This window comes from Homo sapiens, chromosome 8, assembly GCF_000001405.40.
Source record: "Homo sapiens chromosome 8, GRCh38.p14 Primary Assembly".
Lineage (NCBI taxonomy): Eukaryota > Metazoa > Chordata > Mammalia > Primates > Hominidae > Homo > Homo sapiens.
In genome coordinates, this window is record NC_000008.11 from 56982548 (window position 1) to 57002808 (window position 20261).

At 40.2% G+C, this 20261-nt stretch overlaps 1 protein-coding gene across 2 annotated transcripts in view, besides 1 other annotated feature; it reads right to left on the reverse strand.

Moving 5' to 3' along the window:
• The window catches only part of BPNT2 (3'(2'), 5'-bisphosphate nucleotidase 2), a 35937-nt gene extending 24617 nt beyond the window's left edge, over positions 1 to 11320 (reverse strand). For both annotated transcript variants that reach the window (NM_017813.5, XM_047421917.1), the window contains exon 1: positions 10652 to 11320. In NM_017813.5, coding sequence (NP_060283.3) covers positions 10652 to 11038 — 387 coding nt within the window. In that variant the 5' untranslated portion in view covers positions 11039 to 11320. The remainder of the gene's footprint in view (positions 1 to 10651) is intronic.
• Positions 10877 to 11436: a silencer, noted in NCBI's record as "silent region_19212". NCBI's record gives its function as "represses an Ori minimal core promoter by ATAC-STARR-seq in GM12878 lymphoblastoid cells {active_cell/tissue: GM12878}" and the evidence as "EXISTENCE:reporter gene assay evidence [ECO:0000049][PMID:35858748]".

The window sequence follows — 20261 nt, forward strand, 5'->3', positions numbered from 1 at the left end:
ACCACAGTGATCAATGTGAGACAAAAATTTCTGCCCTGTGGAACTTAGATTCTAGTATAGATAAACAACGAGACACATGAAAAAACATGTAGTATGCTGGATAGTGATAAGGAGGAAAAAATAAAGACCAAAAGGACAGAAAGAGTGTTGTTGGAGAGTAGAGAAAGGACTGTTAGAGAGTAGTGGAAGGGTTATTCTTTAAGAAAAAGGGGTAGATAGTATTAAGAAAGGGTGGCTAGGCAATTATTCATAATGGCTAAAATCAGAAAACTACTAATTCCATCAATTAGTAGTTTATCCATTACCCTGATGAATGGATAAATATATTTGGTATATCCATACAATGGAAAGTTACTCAGCCATATATACGAATAAAGTATTGATCATGCTAAATCATGGATGAACCCCCTTGCTTTGTGAAAGCATCAACATACAAGAGATCATATACTGTTTGATTCCATTAATGTAAAATGTCCGGAAAGGCAAATCTATAGAGAAAGACCGATTAGTGGTTGCCTGGGATAAGGGATAAAAACAAGAATAAACAGTTAATGGGGTCAGGGGTATTATTAGGGTGGTGAAAATGTTCTAAAACTGATTAATGATGATAGTTGTACAATTTGGCAGTTCTAAAAATTACTGAATTGTATACTTGAAATAGACAAATTGTAAGATATAAAAACTATGCTGCAATGAAGTTGTTTTGAAAAAAAAGTAATGTAGCTAGAGAAGCCCCTCACTGAAAAGGTGGTATTTGACTGAAGAGATCTAAAGAAAATAAGCCTGGCAGGCATCTAGAAGTGCATTCTAGCCCAATAAATAACAAATGAAAAGATCCTAAGGTGGGAATGTGCCTGGTGTGTTCAGAGGGCAGCAAGGAGGCCAGCAAGGCTACAGCAGAGTGAGCCAAGGAGAAAGGCTAAGGAGCTGAGGTCAGAGAGTAATGGAAGCCAGATGGTGAAGGACCTCGCAGGCTGCAACACAGAGCCAGTTGCCCTCCATCATAACAGCTATTAACAATGTGCAGAGGGTCCTAGTCATTGCAGTAAGCTAAAGGGAGGGGGAGAGGAGCAAGTGGGGAGGTACAAAGTTTAGAAAGAAAAACCAATCCATAATATGAAGTTGATTATTGAGCACTGAGAAAATCTAAAAGAGCTTGCAGATAAATGCAACTCCAATCAAAATCCCCAGTGTTTTTTGTTGTTGTTGGTTTTTTTTAACCTTCTCCTTGGAAACTGGACAAGGCATTTCTGAAAATTACATGGTAGAACAAAAAGTCAAGAAGCAACACAACATTTTGGGAAGAGGGGAAAAAAAATACCATCATGGTGTGGTGACTTACCTTACCAGATATCAAGACCAGAATAATTAAGACAGTGTGGCACTGGTGAGGCATTTTGGCTTCAGAAACCACTCTTAACAACAATGCCAGACTACCTCAGATGAATGAAGATAACAGTAACACCATGCAAAAAGGAATAAACTTCAAAAAAAAAAGAAACATGACTCCTAGAAAAGACGAAGTAGCTTATGGGCCTTAACCACTGTAGCTTACAAAACGGCAGTGCCAAGTCTGGCAACTACTGAGCTTCACTGATTTTTTGCACAATTCAAGTCAGCTTCTCCATGTACTTGCAGCTGAGTATGAGCGAACACATTATAGAACAGTATTTGAAAAGATCTTCACTGAGAATCGGGTTAGGGAGAAACAGCAGGAGAACAAGAACATTAGCACAAATACCTAATCTGCTTTTGAGTAACTGCTATTTATAACCGGCCGCAACCACTACATACCTACAAATCTGAAAAATCTACTACCCACCAATGTAAACAACCTTATCAATAGTTGCTATGGTCAACACCAGAAAGTCTTCCTCAATCCTTTCTCGCGTGCCACATCGAATCAGTCAGTAAGTCCTGGAAATTCTACCTCCCAATTCTAAATATGTCATCATGTCTACCAAGAAAATCTTAGTTTAGGCCACCATCTCTCACCTGGATTTCTACAATAGTCCTCAATTGTTCTCACCTCCTACAATATATTCATTTACCCATTCATTCAACATCTAATGGCTATATACGCTAAACTGCTTTGGACATTGGGATACAGTAATGAACAAAACAGACAAAATCACTGCTTTTACAGAGCTTCCCTTCTCAACCCAGCAACCTGCCATCTTCCTAAATCAGACCGTGGCACCCTAGCTTAAAACCTTCCAATGGTTTCTCATTATGCAGAGATAAAATCCAGACTCCTTATCATAATCTACAACATTAAGTTCCAGATGATCTGGGTAATGACAGCAGTAAGTGCTATCCCGTAATCTCTCTCTTGTTTGCACCCTTATTTACTGTACCCCAGACTTACTAGTCTTCTCATGGTCACTCAGCCTCAGGGCCTTTGTACTTACTGTATTCTTCTGCTTGTACACGCTTTCCCAGATCTCTGCATGACATCCTGGTTCTTATTAAGGTCTCGGCTCAAATGAGACTGCCTCAAAGTGGCCTTTCCTGACTACCATTGATAAAGAAGGACCACCAGACACTCTCCCAGCATGACCCTATTTTTTCTTCTTCAAAGCCCTTATCAGAAACCACGTTACTTGTTTACATTTACTATCTTGATCAGCTAGAACGTAAATTCTGTGGGTGCAAGGACACAAATTTTCTTCATTACTGTAGCTCCATCCCCATTGTCTAAACCAAAGTAGGTACTCAATAAATACATCTTAACTGACAATATTATTCTCAGCCACTGTAGTTTTTCATTTCTTCCCCATAATCCTCTTCCACTCAACCTACTCTTCCTTCCTCATCCTTACTACCTGTCAAAGACCTCAACAGGGAATTGAAGCATAAGAAATCAACCCAAGCTCCAAAAACCCATACCTACTAACAGCCCTGGCCAATCCCTGCCCCCTCCCGACACCCAGCCAATCACTCCCAAAGAAGCCCATTATGGTGGGAATGAACAATGCAGCTTTTAGAGAACCTATAATTTTAGAAGGGTAAGCATAAAAAGGTTCTAGAAATCAGAAAACACTAAACTGATCTTGGTCTATGCTGATACATAATAGCTCATCTTGCAGTCTCCACCTACACCTGGCAATTATCAAAACATTCTCAGATCCTTTTGTTAGCCTCTATGTATAGCAAGTAGGGATTTCTTTAGGTTAACTTGCCTTCTGTGTAGGCATTTCTAGTACTCACAATGTCCACTTTTCTTTTCCTTCCTGAACATCTGGAAGGCTATACTTCCCATGTGCCTTGTAGTTAGAGGCAAATGAGAGTGATTCTGGCCAGCAGAATATAGACAAAAATGTAGATGTACAAAATATGGACAAAAATGTGAATGCGCATCACTTTCTGGCTTAGGCAATAAAAAGAAAGCTCCTGCCCAATTCTCCAATCTCTTCTCTTTCCCTGCTATGTTGACATGGCAGAATCACATATCAACATCAACTAGGTCACAGTCACTACATGGAGGACAACTGCTTTGGAGAGTGTCAGGCTTCTGAGAATTGGAGGATGTCGTTACTACAGCATTTCCTACTCAGTCTTTCCTGACTAATGCATTTTCCCTTTTATAAAAGTAAATACTCCTAAGTAGTTTAAGAGCCAGAAGAAATTCACACGTGTGAATCAATTTAATTTGAGTCTCTTCCTTTAAACCTCAACCTTGCATCAGGAACTCTGAGAAAAAACAAACCAAAACAAAAAAAACATTGCTGTTACTGGATGGGAGGTAGGGGAAATAGGAAAAATAATTTGGGGGATAAAATAGTAATAGCTAGGTACAGATCTGAAGGGAAAGCACAGCTTAAATGAGGCAGCATTAGATGAGAATAGGTACAGAATAGTAGGAGTGTTCCGTAATTGTGAGGACAGAAAATGTTTAATCTATATGCTAAACAATACCTTAAAATTAGTACAACCAAGTCAGGGGTCAGGAATCAAATGCTTATGTAATACAAATGCTCCTCAACTTACAATGGGGTTACGTCCTGATAAACCCATTGTGAATTGAGAAGCATTTGTACTGCATAAGTTGAAAATATCTGAAGTCAAAAATACATTTAACACATCTAACCTACCAAACATCACAGCATAGCCTAGCCAACCTGAAATGTAGTCAGAACACTAACATTAGCCTACAGTTGGGCACAATCATCTAACACAAAGCCTAATTCATAATAAAGTGTTAAATATCTCATGTAATTTATTGACTGCTCTATTAAAACTGGAAAACAGAATGGTTGTATGGGTACTACAAGTATAGTTTCTTTACAATGAATGGTGCATATCATTCTTGCACCATTGTAAAGAAATCCTAAGTTGAACCATCTTAAGTTGGGAACCAGCTATACAAAGGTTCTTAAGACAAGTTTGTCTATTTAAAGATTTTATTTAATTATATGGACATATACACACACATATACATATACATATAATACATATACACACATAAGTGTATTTAGGCTAGTCTTTTAAATTCCAGAAAGGGGAAGGAAACTATTCTCCATCAGTATTGTCAAAGTTCAAGGCCCCCAAACACAATCAATGCCATTAGTATGCTAGTTCAGTTACTTTGGGGTTTGAAGGGACTTCTGGTTAATGCCTTAAGAAGGAATCGATCATTTACTTCATTTCTCCATAAATCATTATATCCTAACCTCACACAGTGCCTATCATACCATAGGTGTGATATGGCAACTTGACTGGATTATGGAATGCCCAGAGATTTGGCTAACATTATTTCTGGTTGTATTTGTGAGGGTGTTTCTGGATAAGATTAGCATTTGAATCAGTGAACTCAATAAAACAGACTGCCCTCTCTAATGTGGGTGGGCAGCATTCAATGTTTTGAGAGTGTGAATAGAACAAAAGGAGGGAGAAGAAAGACTGCCCCTTCTTCTGCCTTACTGCTGAGCTGAAACATCAGTCTTCTCCTGCCCTCCAACTGAGACTACCACCACCAGCTCTCCTGGTTCTCAGGCCTTTGGACTTGGACTGAATCACATCACTTGCTTTCCTGGGTTTCCAGCTTGCAGGTTTCCAGCTGACAGATCAAGGGACTTCTCAGCCTCCTTAATCACACGAGCCAATTCCTTATAATAAATCTCTATTGGTTCTCTTTCTCTGGAGAACCCTGACCAATACAGTAGGCATTCAATAACTATTTTCTTTTTTTTTTTTTTTGAGATGGAGTCTTGCTCTGTCACCCAGGCTGGAGTGCAGTGGTGTGATCTCGGCTCACTGCAAGCTCCACCTCCCAAGTTCAAGCCATTCTCCTGCCTCAACCTCCCGAGCAGGTGGGACTACAGACACCCGCCACCACGCCCAGCTAATTTTTTGTATTTTCAGTAAAGATGGGGTTTCACTGTGTTAGCCAGAATGGTCTCAATCTCCCGACCTCATGATCCACCCGCCTCGGCCTCCCAAAGTACTGGGATTACAGGCATGAGCCACCACGCCAGGCCTCAATAACTATTTTCTAAACATATAAATAAACGTACCTCTACCTGTCCTATTCTCTTCCCACCTTTACAGAAACCTTTTACTATCAACTATTGTCTTTCAAATATAGCTCTATAAACAATTAAACATGCTGTAGTGTCTCATATCTTAAAAACAAATATACCAAAAAGAAAGCACAGAACCTTCTCTTAGGAAACATAATACACCTAACACCCCAGCCAACTTCCTTAAAAGCCCAATTTCTCACAAAACTTGTCTTTACTCACAGTCTCCATTTCCTCACCTCCTAATCATAGGTTGCCTGAGTTCAAATGCCAACTCCTCAATTTATTGGGTATATGAATAATTTAGGCTAGTCACCTAAACTTTCTGAGCTACAATTACCTCATTGGTAAAAAGGGACAATGATCTAGCTCCCTGTAAGGTTCTTAAGAAGACTGAAAGAGAAAAGGTAAAACAAACTTAGTACAGTGCTTAACACAGAGTAAGCATTTAATAAAGGTTGGTTGCTACTATTCTTGTTAAATGATTGTTTTCAGTCTTCATTATCCTTGGTTCTAGGCCCTGATATTCCCCTTTCATGTTATATTCTCTCCCTAACCAATTCTGTCCACAACCAGTTTCAATTAACATCACAACACCGATGACTCGCAGATTTGTATTTTCAGTTCAGATGTTTCTTCAGACCTTCAGACTCATATATTCAACTGACTCTTTGACAGCTAACCTTGGACATATCAAAGGCATCTCTAACATAGCAAGTCTAAAATGGCATTCATAATCTGTCCTCCAACTTAACCACCACTCCCCTTCACCAGCAACAAAACCCCAATTGTGAAAGCTACAGAGGAGTTATTTTTGACATATCCCTAAAAATTCTTTCACTTCCTTCTACATCTATCTTCTCTACAACCATAACCCTAATTCAAAAGATATAAGCTCTCACCTGAAAAAGGGCCTCCTAACTGGTCTCCCTGTATTTACTTTGCTCCCCTCCAAACCATCCTCCAAGCAACTACTCTGAGTCCTTCCATTCATTTTTAACACTGTAGTTAAGAGTATACTTGTTACATCTGCTATACCGCCTTATATAGAGAATTAGACAGACCTGAGATGATTCTCTGACCATTATGTCAATCTCAGTGACTCTAAGATTATTCTCATGGTGAAACCCCGTCTCTACTAAAAATACAAAAAATTAGCTGGGCGTGGTGGCGGCACCTGTAGTCCCAGCTACTTGGGAGGCTGAGGCAGGAGAATGGCATGAACCTGGGAGGCAGAGCTTGCAGTGAGCTGAGATTGTGCCACTGCACTCCAGCCTGGGCGACAGAGCGAGACACCATCTTTAAAAAAAAAAAAAAAAAAAAATTCTAGCTGGACAATCTTTGGCAAATTATTTAGCCTCTCCAAGTCTTTATCTGAAAAACAGAGGCTGTAGTACTTAACCTCCTTTGTTGTTGTGAAGATAAAATTAATAATGTCATTAAGAAGTTTAATTCAATTTTTGTGGCTTGCAGAAGGCTATGCAAATGTTAGCTAGTAAAACAAGCTCAGCATAACTTCCCCACTGCTTGAGTCCTGGTCCTCATCTCTCCCATGGCCTGTTTTAACAGTCTCTAACTAGTTCCTATCTACCTCCAAATGCCCAAAGCCCAAAGTATGGCTTATTGCAGGCCTCAAGAAAAGTCAGCTAAATCTGGCCTTCTTTTAGTATTCTACTAGTAAACCATGGACTAGGTCCAAATTCCTTTGAGCTTGGAATATGACCTAGCCCCTACCTACCTTTCCAATCTCTTCCACAATAATTCTCCCAAGTGCATTTTACTCAAACTCATTAGATTACAAGAATTAGCTGTCCTACTATCTCTCTTGGGCCTGTTCCTTTGAACTAGATTCTTTTCCTCTGTTTTCAGTGCTTATGTCTACACCAATTACTAGTTATTCTGATTTTACAGAAGAGGAAACTATGGCTCAAAAAAGTTAAATGACTGGCCAGTACCACCTAGGCTGGTGACTGCACAACATGTCAATGCAAGTGCTCTGTGCACTATATTAGTGCTTCTCAAACTTTTCTGGGACATACTTCTGTTGAAAGAGAGAAGCTTAACTTCCATCTTATAGGTCAAGGAAGGCACAGACCCAAGTGGCTGCTACCAGCTTGGAGTACCATGCTTTACCTTCAAATAAGTCATTGTCAAAACTTTGAACAAATCAAGTTGAGGACAGGAGCCCCTCAAACAGACAGTCCCCTGTACATTAAATCAAAACTATAAATCTCAGTTTGTCTGTTCTGTGGCTGCAAACCCACTCCACAAAAGTATCTTCAGCCTTCATTTTCATTGTTACCTGCAAGGATAAAGAGACAGTGCCATACAAATGGCTGGAGTTACTATTACTTTGACACAATGAAGTCAAGCATTGCCAAAGTGTTTAGGAAGAGGAGACTAGCTGCCCAGAGGACTCTCTGGGATCTCTAACCTGAAGAAAACTGAAGACAAAAGGAAATCCAGGGAGCCTAGGTGAAATCTGAGTTTTGTTAGGATAGCACTCACTTCTCTGGAGTATGATTCCTCAACTTGGGCATCAATTGACAAATGGAGCAGATAATTCTTCGTCATAGGGGGCTGTCCTGTGCATTATAGGATGTTTACCCTCTACCTACTAGATGCCAGTAGCATCCCACCCCTGGTTGTGACAATCAAAAATGTCTTCCGACGTTGTCAAATGTCAGTTAGGGGACAAAACTGTCTCCAGTTGAGTGCTCTAGGATAACCCCTGGTATATCCTTTTACTGAGGAGTGAACATTACATACGAAAGCTCAGACTTCAGACTCTACATAGGAAAGTAGTGGGAGAAAACAGATCTTTCTACATTTACATAGGGCACTAGGATAAAAGAAAGAAGTATCTGTTGCTTCTCAATGGTCTTTTTCCACTAGGAAGTAAACTAAGTGGGATATAATTTAAGTTTCTTACCAAGAAATTTGGGGTGAGGCTTCAAAATTAACCAGGGATTTAAGACTGTACTTCTGGGCATTAGGAGAGGGGAAGGCAAAAAAGGAGAAAGACTCCTTTTAGGTTGATTCTCCACTTAGTTGGCTACAATATTTGGCCTCTAGCCTATAACACAGGGGTATAAGGAGATCGCTCAACATGACACCATCCCTACTTTGACACTGTATAAATGATCACAAACCTCTTCTATTCCTTCAGTCATGACCCAACATGAATACTACAGAAGCACATGCAAACATTCAAATAGTCACAAGAAAACAAGAAGTTGTTTTATATTAAGCCAGAGACTTCAACATCTGCAATTCCAAAAGCTTAGCTTTTATGTTAATAAAATGCAGCTCACTGCCCTTGGCAGCCATTCCCTTATTGTTTGCTAATAAATGAGAATGCACACACATACAGATGTGTTTTCAACATTTAAGATACTTTTGTTTTTACTTAAAAAAAGAAAAATCAACTCTGCTTGCTGTATTTCACTATTACTGCTTTTAAGCTTCTACAATTATAAGTTTTAAATAGCCTTCTAAAAATCTAGCTAAAATGTGGGATAGTTCATATAAGCTGGAGTGTCACGAGCCTCAGATTTCCCGTTTGTATAGTAGGCAGAAATAAAATTTACTTCTTAAAGTTGCTGTTAAGGATCAAATGAAGTCCTGTGTAGCCAGTATTTGGGCATGTAAAATATATTCAATAAATGGTTATTATTAGTACTGTTATAACCATTAAATAGCAACTTCTCTGAATCTCCTGTTTCCTCTATAAATTCTTGGGGAAGGAAACACGTATGTTTTGGAAAGGGGGTAAAATATTTCATAAACACACCTTACATCTAGATGCAAAAAAATTTAAGTATTATTTGTGATGATAAAAACAGAGTAGGGAAGAAGAAAAAGTGGAAATATTCTGTGTTTTAAGTAGAAATTTGAAAAAAAAAATTCTAACGTTAATTACATCTGGTATCCAGTAGCTCATGTTAGGAAATACAATGTTCCTTTCCACTGGAAAAAGAAAAAGACGAAAGAAAAGGGAGGAAGAGAGGAGAATAAAAAACAAAACCAAAGCAATATTATGATAGACTGGAAGAAGCCTTATGCAAAATACATAACTAAACAATGACAATATTCTCCTAACTCTTTCAAGATCAGCAGTAAAAGGTCAGTCACCTTCCAAAGAAGCCTGGGTTTGCACATCACTGTTTATCTAATAAAATTCCAGTGAAGACAATTTTTCTTCCCAGTAGCCAAAACTACAGTTAGGTGAGTTAAGATATACGTTAATAAGGTGCTGCTACGCTATGCTGAGCTCTTCCTCAACAAAATTTGCAGTTTCTGGAACTGCAAATTTTAAATATGCTTTATTCAACTCAATAGCAGCTCCAGTGAAATGATGAATTCAAAAAGTATTAATAACAAATCCAAAATGTCTGGATTTCCTTAAGAAAATGTCAACTCCCTTCCCAGAAACCTACCCAAAGAAAAGCCAAATGTTATTTAATTCTTATTCTCTGGAGTAAATATGGATCTTTAATCAAGGGCCAGGTAGGACCAACAGCTGGTATATTTCTAAGTACCTCCTTAAAGGGCCCGCAAACTATAAACTTTAGAGCGTCCTGACAAAAAGACAGCGAAATGAGCATACTCATCCCCCACCCCCCCACCCCGACTCCCGCGAGCGCACACACGCACACACAAATGCCCCGCACACTAACAGCTCTGCAACAAGACTCGGTCTTTCAGCTGGCTACTGGCAGGCCACCCAGAAAATGTGTACTCCAGTTTCGACCCTTCTAGGGATGAAATCAAGGAAGGATAGAGAGTCTTGGTGGATTTTAGCCAACCCCTTAATTCTACAGAGGAGCCTGAAGCTGCGGGTGCAATTAACTTTGTCAGCCTTTTCGTTTCAAGGCCTTCTGATCCCAGGTACACACGGCGCACACCCGACCCAGGACGAGCCAAAAGGGCACGGGCCCTGAGTCAGACTACGTGCAACCTCACCCAGCTCCTCTGCTGTCTGTCTGACCTTGTGCACGTTAACTTCTGCGTCTCAATTTCCACATCTACAAAATGGAACCAGAAGCTCCACATCCCATACTGTTAAGAGTCGACGGGCCGAGACGCGCTACCCGGCTCGAGTGGGCGCTCCGCCCGTGGGCTCCCACCTGGACGCTGGGGAAGGCGGTCTTGAGCAGGTAGAACATCTTGCGGTTGGACAGCACGTCGCCGCTGGTCATCTTGTCCTCGGCTCCCTCGCGCGTCTTCCCCTTGGACTTCTCGTGGAGGACGTTGCTCTCGCGGACGCGCCTCACCTCGTCGCCGCCGCGGACTGCGGCCAGCACTGACACAGCCAGCATCTCGCGCAAGTCCACGGTGCCCCCATCGGCCGCGGCCGCGGGCCCCGCCGCGCCGCCGCCAGGCTCGCCGCCCAGGCCGAAGAGGCTGAAGCGGCCGGCCAAGAAGCCCGAGTAGAGGTGGTAGAGCACGCCGAGCCCCAGCAGGCAAAACACTGCCACCCCCAGTGGGGAAAGGCGGATGCCCATGGGGGCCATGGCGTGGGAAGCCGGGCGCTCCGGGCTGCGGCTCTCACAGGCCTCCAGCGCCCGCCGCCGCCGCCGCCGCAGCCGCCGCGCTCCGGGCCAGGCGCCGCGCGGGCTACACTGGCGCCCGCTCCCCGGCCCCGGTGCGCCCCATCACTCCCTCCCAGGAAAGGCCGAGTTGCGCCGCGAAGACCACCAACGCCGCCCCGCGCGCCTGACTCGCCAGGCAGCGCGCTCTAGGTTCTTCCGCCGGCCGGCTGGTCCGACTTCCACGTTAGCCTACGGCCGCGAGGTGAAAGGGGAGCGTGGGTGTGTATCCGGGTTACGCGACGGGGCGGGGCGAGGGCGAGGGCGAGGGGCGGGGAGAGCTGGGCACCTCCCCTTGGGGCGGGGCGGGGCGGGACAGGAGGCGCTGGACTGAGCTGCCTTCCTTGGTCTGGGTGGGAAGGTATTCCTGGAAGTGGCGAGCAGCAATCCGCACAGGACAGTGTGCTGTGCTGAGTGCCTTGTGGGTGTTTAAATTAAATATCCCATTGTACGACTATGGCTGGCTGTAATAAACCCACAGTAACAGTCTAGTCTTCTCATCACTCTCAGATTATTGAGGAATGGAGGAAAACACAATAAACCATTTTAAAAGATTGATTTGCAAGCTTTTTTAGCCAGCGGGGGTGTAGACAGCCTGTACCTTTAAGTCGCTTCTCCGCGCTCTTCCCGGCAGGACGGGGAACTGGGCGGTGAGGGGAAGAATTGTACTTGGCTCTTCATTCTGTTGACATCTTTGTCGTGCCCTAAATGCTTATGTGTGTATAGAGTTTCTCTCCTCCACCTGCCAGAATAAACCATCCTCGAAGCAGCTGAAAAACATGCCTTGATCCGGGTTTTTCATAATGAAAGAAAGCAAACCAGGCTTCTCTCATTTCCAAGGGTACTCGAGCCTGGCTCTCCTACCAGAGCTTAAGAAGAGGAATTGCTTGACAGAGTCCACTTAAAATAGAGGTTATCCGGAGATGGTCAGTCTAGAACATGTAATCTTTGAGTCAGCGTAGGCTCTCGAAGTATTTTGACAGAAATAACTACCTTCTACTATAACACCGATCTTAGCTAGAATGATAGTGAATACTTTATAAGTATTCATGAGTTTATCTTTAATCTTAAAAGTGAATATTAAGATGTATAGTATTGTTCTTAAATGTTAAAATATCTATATAAATCAACTTAAAATGTAGCCTGTTTTACTGTTCATAGCAAAACAGCATTGGTTTTAAGTGGACTTTAGAATTAACCACCTGAAAAACTGCAAGTATACCAAACTTCTAAACATCCATTGCTAAGCAAGTCATGTAGAGCCTGACCTTTACCGCTTACTTAGAGTTCAGGGCATCCCTAGAATTTGCATGTGATTATACACATACAACAAAAGCACTGCCAGATTATACACATACAACAAAAGCACTGTGATTTCCCTGCCAGAATCACAGCACAAAATCAAGTACAAATACAAATCAGTGAAAGAACAATCCCTAGAGTATTGACAGCACCAGAACTTAAAGAACTAGCATTGCCTTTCTTGTCAGCTTTTGAGAGTAACTTTGCAATGAAGCAAAGCTGCTTTCAAATATCTAAAAGTGAATGTCACAGAGTAATTCTCAAAACCCATCCCAGGGATAAAGATAAACATCAGGGTTGAAATATAAAGGTTTAAGTTAAACAGAACCACCCCAACCTACACTATGACAGCAGCAAAAAGATGAGTTGGATAGTAATCATGTCAATATTAAAAGCATCATTGGGAAGTCTGAGATTTCTCAAAATAAACGGAATAATATTTTCCAAGGATATTGGAGAATAATATAGGGTCACATTCAGTGTGGCAGTATACACAGTATACCACTGAGGGAAATACTAAAAGCTCTGGAGCATTTCTACTGCAAAAAAGGGATTTAAGACTTGAGGGAGAAAATGCCAAGGTATGTGGAAAGAAGGAGTCACTTGAAAGATTGTAGCTCCAAGAGGCGTTCTAGCACTCAAGTGATAATTGATCATAGAGAATGGGTATTAACAGATAACATTTAATCGACAAAAGAAGTTATGACAATAAGAAAACATTTGATTAATTACATGTGGTACAGTGATGTCAGAAAACCTTTATAGGAATTTGATTGAAAGAAACTTGTTTTTTTAGTATCAAGTTGTCAGAAGCTTCAAACAATGCATACATACACATGAAAATTATATGGCTTTCATATTAAGATTGTGGACAGTCTGTTCCTAAAACATAATCTACATCTATTCTTAAAATTGTTTTCCCCAAGATTTTGAAATAAACAATTAAATGTGTTAACTTTTAGGCCGGGCGCGGTGGCTCATGCCTGTAATCCCAGCACTTTGGGAGGCCGAGGTGAGTGGATCACGAGGTCAGGAGATCGAGACCATCCTGGCTAACACGGTGAAACCCCGTCTGTACTAAAAATACAAAAAAATTAGCCGGGTGTGGCGGCGGGCGCGTGTAGTCCCAGCTACTCGGGAGGCTGAGGCGAGAAATGGCATGAAACCGGGAGGCGGAGCTTGCAGTGAACCGAGATCGCGCCACCGCACTCCAGCCTGGGCGACAGAGTGAGACTCCGACTCCGTCTCAAAAAAAAAAAAAAAAAAAAAAAGAAACAAAAAAGAAAAAAAAAGGAAATGTGTTAACTTTTTAAATTAAAGCAAAATAATTATGTAGGCTGATGCAAGTAAGACAACTTGAAACTGCAACTAGAAACTATACCCAATGAAAAACCCTGCCTTAAAAGATAGACAAGTGGATATATTTTTACTTGTTTTAGGTTCAATTGTTAAGCTGTCTAGTTTTTTTCTGTAATTCTCCACTTTAATGCAGTTTTCTCAGTTAACTGGCCCACACTAGTTCTGATTACATCAGACATAGGACCTCTTCTAAATGTCTGGATATTGCTACCTTTCCTACAAATACCAGTTTTCCTTATAGTCTCCATGTGTACAGAATAAATAATATCAGTTTATGAAACATTATTAGCATCTTAGATGTTAAGGACATTTTGGTTCCTTTCAATGACTCCTGACCTTCAAATTTACCCTGGAAAATGTTTTTTATAAAAATTAATCTTGGCCGGGTATGGTGGCTCACGCCCCAGCACTTTGGGAGGCCAAGGCAGGCAGATCACAAGATCAGGAGTTCAAGACCAGCCTAGCCAACATGGTGAAACCCCATATCTACTAAATATACAAAAATTAGCCAGGCACGGTGGCACACGCCTGTAATCCCAGATACTTGCGAGGCTGAGGCAGGAGAATCCTTTGAACCCAGGAGGTGGAGGTTGCAGCCTGGGCGACAGACCGAGACTCCATCTCAAAAAAAACAAAAAATTAATCTCTGCCAGTTAGTTTCCTTGTATTTTTTCCTTTAAATATGCATTGGAGGGGTACAATATAATTAATGAAAGGTTCAGCGTAGTTGAACCCTCATTAAAAGTGTTTTTACGGCAGGCGCGGTGGCTCACGCCTGTAATCCCAGCACTTTTGGAGGCCGAGGTGGGTGGATCACAAGGTCAGGAGATCGAGACCATCCTGGCTAACACGGTGAAACCCCGTCTCTACTAAAAAAAAAAAAAAAAAATACAAAAAATTAGCTGGGCGTGGTGGTGAGCGCCTTCCAGCCTGGGCGACAGAGCCAGACTTCATCTCAAAAAAAAAAAGTGTTTTTACTACCTTTCTGAGAAAGAAAACAATGAACTGATGGCATTTTACATGTTGAAAATATAAAACTTCCAAGAAGATTATTATTTGCATATTCTTTCCTTAAGTGATTATATCCTATAGAAACAATAATTCTGTTTTTTTAGTAGATCCAGTGATATGGTGTTTGCTTCTGCCATTAAAGTTCTCTCTTTGGCAGATAATTGAAGTTCAGAAACAGTGGCTTTCATATATCAAGACTGTGGATAGTCTTTTTCTAAAACAGGATCTACATCTATTCTTAAAATTGTTTCTCCCAGATTTAGAAATAAACAATTAAATGTGTAACTTTTAAAATTAATGTAAAATAATTATGTTAGCATTATAACATTGTACTATGGTCCCAATCCTAGCAATAGTAATATTGAATTCTTATTGGAGACAGTTCTGTAGGTATAATCATACTTTGGTATCCGCAGGGTTTGGTTCTAAGACCCCCACAGATACCAACATTTGAGATGCTCAAGTTCCTTATAAAAAACGATATAGTGTTTGCATATAGCCTACACACATCCTTCCATTTACTTTAAATCAACTCTAGATTACCTGTAATACCGAATACAATGTAAATGGTATGTAAATAGTTGTTATACTATATTGCTTATTTGTATTATTTTTACCATGGCATTGTTATTTTTACTGGTATTTTGTTTTTCAAATATTTTTGATCTTGTTGATTGAATGCATGGATGTGGAACCCACAGATAAAGAGGGACAACTATATATACAATAGAAAACTGGAAATAGTTGCAACCCTTTGAAATTATAATCACTCTGATCCATATGCACAACATAAAGCCAGGTAAGTAATTTGCATATCTTTGTATCTTCTGACTTAACTCAGATCCTATGAATATAGCAAGAACTCAGTAAGTATTTATGAAACTGGACTTTTAAAAGCTACTTTTTAATTAAATGTTGTATATTTTGTAAAGTGTTTCTCAAAAAAAATGAATTTAACAAACACATTAAGGACCCAACATTCATTTTGTTTATTCAAAACACTTGTTTCACCAGCATACAAATCAGCCTAAAAAATATATATATATATGCTTTGGCACCATTAAGATATCAAATATTTGTTAACTTTTTTTTTGTACTCTTCATTAAATCTTATTGCTTGCAAAGCACCAAATCAGTGAGTAATGTAAAATTTCTCACATTGTATTTTATTCTCTAGGTGATCTGGACATATACATTTTGCTCACTACCTATCTAAAACCTGAGGTAAAATTATCACCTTAAAATTTCATTTATTAAAAAAAATATAGTCCTGGCACAATGGCTCACACCTGTAATACCAACACTTTGAGAGGTCAAGTTGGGTAGATTGCCTGAGCTCAGGAGTTTGAGACCAGGCTGGGCAACATGGCAAAACCCTGTCTCTACAAAAAATAGAAAAGTTAGCTGGGAGTGGTGGTGCATGCCTATAGTCCCAGCTACGTGGGAGGCTGAGGCAGGAGGATCGCTTGACTCCAAGAGGTTGAGGCTGCAATGAGCCCAGATCCCACCACTGCACTCCAGTCTGAGTGATAGAGCAAGACCCTGTCTCTAAAAAATATATATATATATAATATCTAAAATTTTCTCATCTGCAGAAAATAGCATTTGAATGCTATTCATCAATCATAATTAGGATATGTAGTCTATGGAATTTTGTTCATAATTTATATTACGTAAAAATCTCAACATAATACATATTGCTATAACACAGATTTAGACACAAAACAAGACAAATTGTGTCACCTAGAATGTAAGAACTCAATATAGCCATCATGTCCTAGCAAGTGTTTCTCAAACTTTTTGAGAATTAAAATAAGTTTTACATTTAGATATAGCAAACAAAGGCTTCACTAAACAGTACTTACCCTGATATATGACATATTCTTGTATATTTTTATACCCTTCAAACTGATTTGATGGTTCCATTAATGAGTCACTGTTGAGAGACAAATCTCTGTGATTTCTTGTGTTTCTCAATGTCTTTCCTGCAGAGGGACTGACTCCCTTTTCAACAATGTTATCTTTTCAAGGATGTTTATACAGCCTTGGAAGACACAGATGGTGTTTCCCTCTAGAGCAAAGGACAAGTTGGTTTTATTTACATTATAATGTAAATGATGGCTCGCTCTGGGGCAAACGTAGGGCAGGTTTATTGCTAGTTATAAAAGATTTAGGATTCCTCAACTCAGAGTTCCTTTCCTGGAATGCATCCAATTGTGTGTGCACAAGTTGAGACCCTCTTAGTGTCACCCTGTGGAAGCTGGGGCTTGAGGAACAAGTGCAAATGCTGACACTCTAAATGGCACAATTGCTTTGTCTTGAGCCTGGAGTCTAGTGACTTCCGCCAGCATCCATGTGGCTAGCAGACTCACTTGTTAGCCGCAAGCAGAGTAAAGTCTCAGAACCTTCACACTCTTGACAGTCGCAATCCCCACGTTTTGGAAAAAACTTCTGTGGTTTATATACAGAACTATAATTTTGTCCACATTGAGATTTCACTACACCCTCAAGTTAAAAAAAAATTGAAAATTAAAGGATAATCATATGAAAAAGGACATTTTTTTAAAATTCAGACTTTTTCAGAGATGACTTAGGGATTTTTTATAACTTCCTGTAACTTTTAAGCAAAGTTGAACTACAAGATAAATTTTTCCTTGTCATGTTATTTCAAATACTTCATGTTAGCATGCCCAGAAATTGACCTAAAAAGGATTAATAATAAAGCCAGTCTTTCTAATAGCAAAAAAAACTCTTTTTGCTTTTATGAGTTTGAAGAAAATTCTAATCATAATTCAATAAATAAAACACAACCCAAATTAATTAAGTGGTAAAACCAACTTTCCCAATTTATTTCTTTATCTTAGTCCTAAACCAAATAGAAAATATATAGTTTTGCCACATCAACTGCTAAAACTGTATTATTCTGTAAGGTCTTCCTGAATAACCCATTCTTTGAGATGAACTAGCTGCTTACTCATCTGTCTTCATGTATAAGCCCCATTCAGATGGAGACATCCTCCTGCCTGCCCCTGAGGTTTTCACAGTTGTAAAAGATGAGACACACCCATATTTCTCTGGGTGATGGGAGTTTGTGAACAAATATCTGTAGTAAAGAGGAGCCCAGGAAGGCAAGCAACTGTAGAGTCATTCTGTCTCTCAGCGCTTCTAAAACTGTCATGTTCAGCAGATCCTGAAGCTCTTCAGGAATGACTCATAGTCATGTAGAATACAAAAGCAACTCTACTGACCCACTTTTACTTTTTCTTTTTTTTTTGAGATGGAATCTCCCTCTGTCACCCAGGCTGGAGTGCAGTGGCACCATCTCGGCTCACTACAACCTCCGCCTCCCAGGTTCAAGCAATTCTCATGTCTCAGGCACCCGAGTAGCTGGAATTACAGGCATGCGCCACCAGCCCAGCTAATTTTTGTATTTTTCGTAGAGATGGGGTTTCACCATGTTGGTCAGGCTGGCCTCGAACTCCTGACCTCAAGTGATCTGCCAGCCTCAGCCTCCCACAGTGCTGGGATTACAGGTGTGAGCCACTGTGCTCGACCTTTTTCTTCCACGTATCAATGTTCACACTGGCATGAAGAGCTCCCGTTGGGTCATTCATACTGGTCGTGTTTCACCCCAAGCTCCTTATCACTCTGTAGTTCTCACATACATTCACATAGCTGTCTTGCATCTGGCCAAATCATTTCAGCCAGAGTAGCAAGGTTATTTGTATTTGACTTCCACACACATGGGAAAAGCCATAGCAACTTGAAGAAGTGTAATGGCCTGATGGTACTTTCCTTTGCAGAGGGCTGTGGCAGATATGGCCATTGTTACTCTTCTAATAAAGTTCCTCAATAAATGACATGATTATACCTCATGACAAAGTTATAAACATCTGCTGAGTGCACATCAAATCAGAAAATTTTAGAGGTTAGAGCGCTAGAGCCATAATTTAGCTCAATCTCTTGATTGTATAGGTGAGTAAACTGAGTTTTCTAAAGGCTAGGCCAAATTGAGAAACGTGGTCTCCCAGTTCCCATTTAGCATGATTTCCACCAAATGCCCAGATATGGATGATGCAAATATCCTTGGGAACAGAGTAAGTGCGTTAGCCCCTCAAATGCAGAGCCCGAGTTTTCAGCCCCTGCTATCGTGCCTGCTCCATAGTGGGGTGCAGAGTGTTCTTTCTCATTCTTTCTTTTTTCATTTTTTAAAATTTCTTTGAACCACTTTTGATTTCCATATGATTCAGATTGCATTTTTATTTTTCTTCACTTCTTGAGTGCTTTTGATTGATACAACTTAATTTTAAATATTCTTCTATTTCTCCTTTATGAATCACTTATTACTATGAACAGCCCTGACAAATTCTCAAGTTTTATACGCCTTATATTTTTCAAGGCTGGTTTTAGATATCACAATCTTTAAGAAGCCTGCTTGACCACAAGACATTTCGTGTTTTGCTTTTGTTTTTGTGTGTGGTAAATACAAATTTTATTCTGTATAAAATATAATAAAAACATTCCTGCATTCTAAAGGTCTTAAAACTCCAATCAGTGTAACATTTTTGGTATTTAAATAAACAAAATACTCATTTCAAATTAAAATACAGCACATATTCTGTTTCTTTTAACGTTTTAGTTTTAGGGGCACATGTACAGGTTTGTTACATAGGAATATTGTGTATTGCTGAGATTTGGTGTATGAGTGATACTGTCACCTAGGTAGTAAGCATAGTACCTGATAGGTAGTTTTTCAACCCCAACCTCCCACCCCCTTTAATCGTCCCCTGTGTCTATTGTTCCCATCTTTGTGTCCATGTATATTCAATGGTTAGCTCAAAACTTACAAGTGAGAACATGCAGTGTTTGGTTTTTTGTTCCTGCATTAATCCATTTAGGGTAATGGCCTCCAGCTCCATTCATGTTGCTACAAAGGAGTGTTATCTCATTCTTTTATATGGCTCATTCCTTTTTATGGCTGTGTAGTATTCCACAGTGCATATGTACCACATTTTCTTGATCCATTCCACCATTGATGGGCATCTAGGTTGATTCGTGTTTTTGTAACTGTGAATAGTGCTACAATGAACAAATGAGTGTATGTGTATTTTTGGTGGTACAATTTATTTTGTTTTGGGTACATACCCAGTAATGGGGTTGCAGGGTCAAATGGTAGTTCTGTTTTAAGTTCTTTGAGCAATCTCAAAATCAAAGTGACTAATTTACTTTCCTGCCAACAGTGTGTAAGCATTCCATTTTCTCTGCAACCTTGCCAGCGTGTGTTATTTTTTGACTTTTTAATAATAGCCATTCTGACTGGTGTAAGATGGTATCTCATTTTGATTTGCTTTTCTCTAATGATTAGTGATGTTGAGCACTGTTTCATACCTTTGTTGGCCACATGTATGTCTTCTTTTGAAAAGTGTCTATTCATGTCCTTTGCTCATTTTTTAATGGGGCTGCTTGTTTTTTGCTT